This window comes from Homo sapiens, chromosome 11, assembly GCF_000001405.40.
Source record: "Homo sapiens chromosome 11, GRCh38.p14 Primary Assembly".
NCBI lineage: Eukaryota > Metazoa > Chordata > Mammalia > Primates > Hominidae > Homo > Homo sapiens.
In genome coordinates this window covers 101,608,758-101,611,841 of record NC_000011.10, presented here as the reverse complement: position 1 = coordinate 101,611,841, position 3,084 = coordinate 101,608,758, and the positions used below count along the sequence as shown (strand labels likewise).

Here is a 3,084-nt window from a genome sequence, read left to right as displayed (position 1 = left end):
GGGGTAGACAGTAGGGAGTCATTGTGGATTTCTGAGTAAGAGCAATAGCAAGATAAGTATAATATCTAAGCCAGGGCCTTACAAGCACTGATTGCACTGAGAGCAGAACAGATTATTTTTAAAAACATTTTATTTACTTAATTGCTAAATAAAAATTGTATACATTTATTGTATACGATATGTTGTTTTGAAATATGTATACACTGTGAAATGGCTAAACTGAGCTAATTAACATATGGATTTCCTAACACACATTATTAGTTTTTGGGGTGATGAAAACACTTAAAATCTACTCTTTTAGCAATTTTCAAGAATTCATTACATTGTTATTAAATATACTCACCATGTTTCACAATAGATCTCCTGAACTTTCCTCCTAACTAAAATTTTGTACCCTTTGACCAACATTTCTGCTTTTAAATACTTTTACATTCAATATTTAAAATGTAAGTGATGGCTATTCTTAATAATTCTACCTGCTAGTCCATCTGGATAGTAAGAAACTAAAACTTGTACTTTTCATGGGAATAATATATGAATGCAAAGGAGACTCATTTCAAGTGTTTTCATGATTTAGTTGTAATTAAAATACACCTGATTTTACTCAAAACATATATAACAAGATTAATCATTTTTTTTTTTTTTTTTTTTTTGAGATGGAGTCTCACTCTGTCACCCAGGCTGGAGTATAGTTGCGTGATCTTGGCTTACTGCAACCTCTGCCTCTTGGGTTCAAGCAATTCTCCTGCCTCAGCCTCCCAAATAGCTGGGATTACAGGCATGCACCACCATGACTGGCTAATTTTTGTATTTTTAGTAGAGATGGGGTTTCACTATGTTGTCCAGGCTGGTCTCGAACTCCTGACCTCAAGTTATCCACTCACCTCGGCCTCCCAAAGTGCTGGGATTACAGGCATGAGCCACTTCACCTGGCCTGATTAATCATCATTTTTAATTAAAAGATTATTTGCAAAATGTTTATACAGCTTCTTTGAAAATTTATAGTCTCATAAAATTCAACTCTCATAATGAAGTTTATTTGAAGCCTTTGTGTAATATAAATCTAGCTATCTATGCAGATTATGATGCAGAAAGATCTCTTTCTTTCCATGTAGCAAATTGGCAGTGGTGAATTCATACCCCAGGAAACTACTCTACAATGTTGTCTCTGCATACTTGTTGCCAGGCACTGATCTCCTCTGGGGCATTATGTTTCTTAAGTATCTTCTTATGCCCTGGACCTAGCACACTGCCTGGCACATGGGAGGAGCCAAGTTCATGTTGGCCAATTTGCTCTCATTAAATTAACTTCAGAATATTCTTACTAAAGAGGCCGCAAAAGGGTCCCATTTCTATCCCTTCTGTTACTCTAATGTCATGCAAATGAGGCTTGAAGTAATGCTTCTGACGAAGGGCGGACTTCTTGGGCCTTCTCTGATGCTGTCTGACCTGTATTCAGATCTTCATTGTACCAGTCTTGGGTCATGTGAAATTAGCTTCCCTGAAAATAAGCTTTTGCATTTGCAAGGTAGACTACCCATACCTACATTCAGGGAGTTCTGAGGGTTAAAGAAAATCATGTAGCTGGGAGTGAATAACAGTTATTAGCTACCTACTATGAGTCTGGAGTGGTTTCACTCAGCTACGAATCTGCTAGGACACTACTTATTCTCAGTGGGGCTGCACTTCACATAGTTTTCTCATGGTGATGTGAAGTCTCATTGAATAGAAGCTATGAGGTTAATTTCAAGACAACTGGCTAGGTGCATTCCAGCTGCTTAGCTAATCATATCATCATTACCTGCCTTTAACACCCATTCTGTTCTATTTCCTATGGTACAATGTCCTTGTGGTTCTTCCTCTGAAATATGCCTTATATCCCAACTCTTCTATTTTCATTGCCGCCATACCTATAGGCTTTAGAACCCAAGATAAATCACTGCAATAATTTCTTAACTATTTCTTCAACTCCTGTATTTCTGTCTCGTCTCTCCATTTCTATATACACCTGCTGGATTTATCTTCCTGAATCCTCCCCTCTCAACCTTGCATCAGTTAGAATTGTGATAAAAAAACAGGATTTCAAAGAGTATTTCCAACTAGCCTCAAAAAGCAAAACAAAATAAAAGCTAAAACTTACTTTTCCTTTAACATTTTTTAATGCAATGATTTTGAAGATAGTAGAATAGATGTCTTTTGGAATATAGGCTATTACACCAATGTGGCACTTTTAGCTTTATGCAGAATTCACTAGATAGCGTTATTATTTTTACTTTTTAACTGAGGTCATTAAAAATTTCACCACATTCGTTGGCAAAAATAAAAATAAAAAAATTTCACCACAAATAAGCATTCAGAAACACTAAAATATATATCTCCTTTAATAGGTGTTTGGAGCCAAAAGCAATCTCTAAAACCAAGCCCCAATGAGTAGTTGAGGACATGAGAGTAAAGGCAGGATAAGGAATGGAAATAATTTCTTCCATTAACTCTACTAAACTAGACTCTTTGCTGTCTTTCTCCCCACTCACCTCTCTAACCTAATGAAATGTCCCGTTGCACTATTCACTCATTGCTACTGGGGAGAGTTTCAGTCCTCACAACCCTGATCACACCCATCCTGCATAGCTCATTACTTGGACTGGGATAACAAAATACAGAGTGGCCATGTACACCAGATCATGGGTTTTGAACTCAAGAAGCTCTGCATTAGAAGTCTCAGGTCTATTGCGTAACCGTCTGACAAACTCAGACAAGTTTTAAAAAATATTGGTGTTAAAAATGTCTGGGACATTATAGTTCCTGATATATCACAGTTGCTCAATGATTGGTGGTTACATTTTTTTTTTTTCAAGACGGAGTCTTGCTCTGTTGCCCAGGCTGGAGTGCAGTGGCGTGATCTTGGCTCACTGCAACCTCTGCCTCCTGGGTTCAAGTGATTCTCCTGCCTCAGCCTCCCAAGTAGCTGGGATTACAGGCACGTGCCACCATGCCCAGCTAATTTTTGTATTCTTAGTAGAGACGGGGTTTCACCATGTTGGCCAGGCTGGTCTCGAACTCTCGACCTCGTGATCCACCCACTTT

The 3,084-nt window shown here is 38.0% G+C and overlaps 1 annotated feature.

The window, feature by feature from the left end:
* Window positions 1,445-1,967: an enhancer, noted in NCBI's record as "NANOG hESC enhancer chr11:101480606-101481128 (GRCh37/hg19 assembly coordinates)". NCBI's record gives its function as "activates a minimal SCP1, AML or CMV promoter by ChIP-STARR-seq in naive H9 embryonic stem cells {active_cell/tissue: H9 hESC(naive)}" and the evidence as "EXISTENCE:reporter gene assay evidence [ECO:0000049][PMID:30033119]".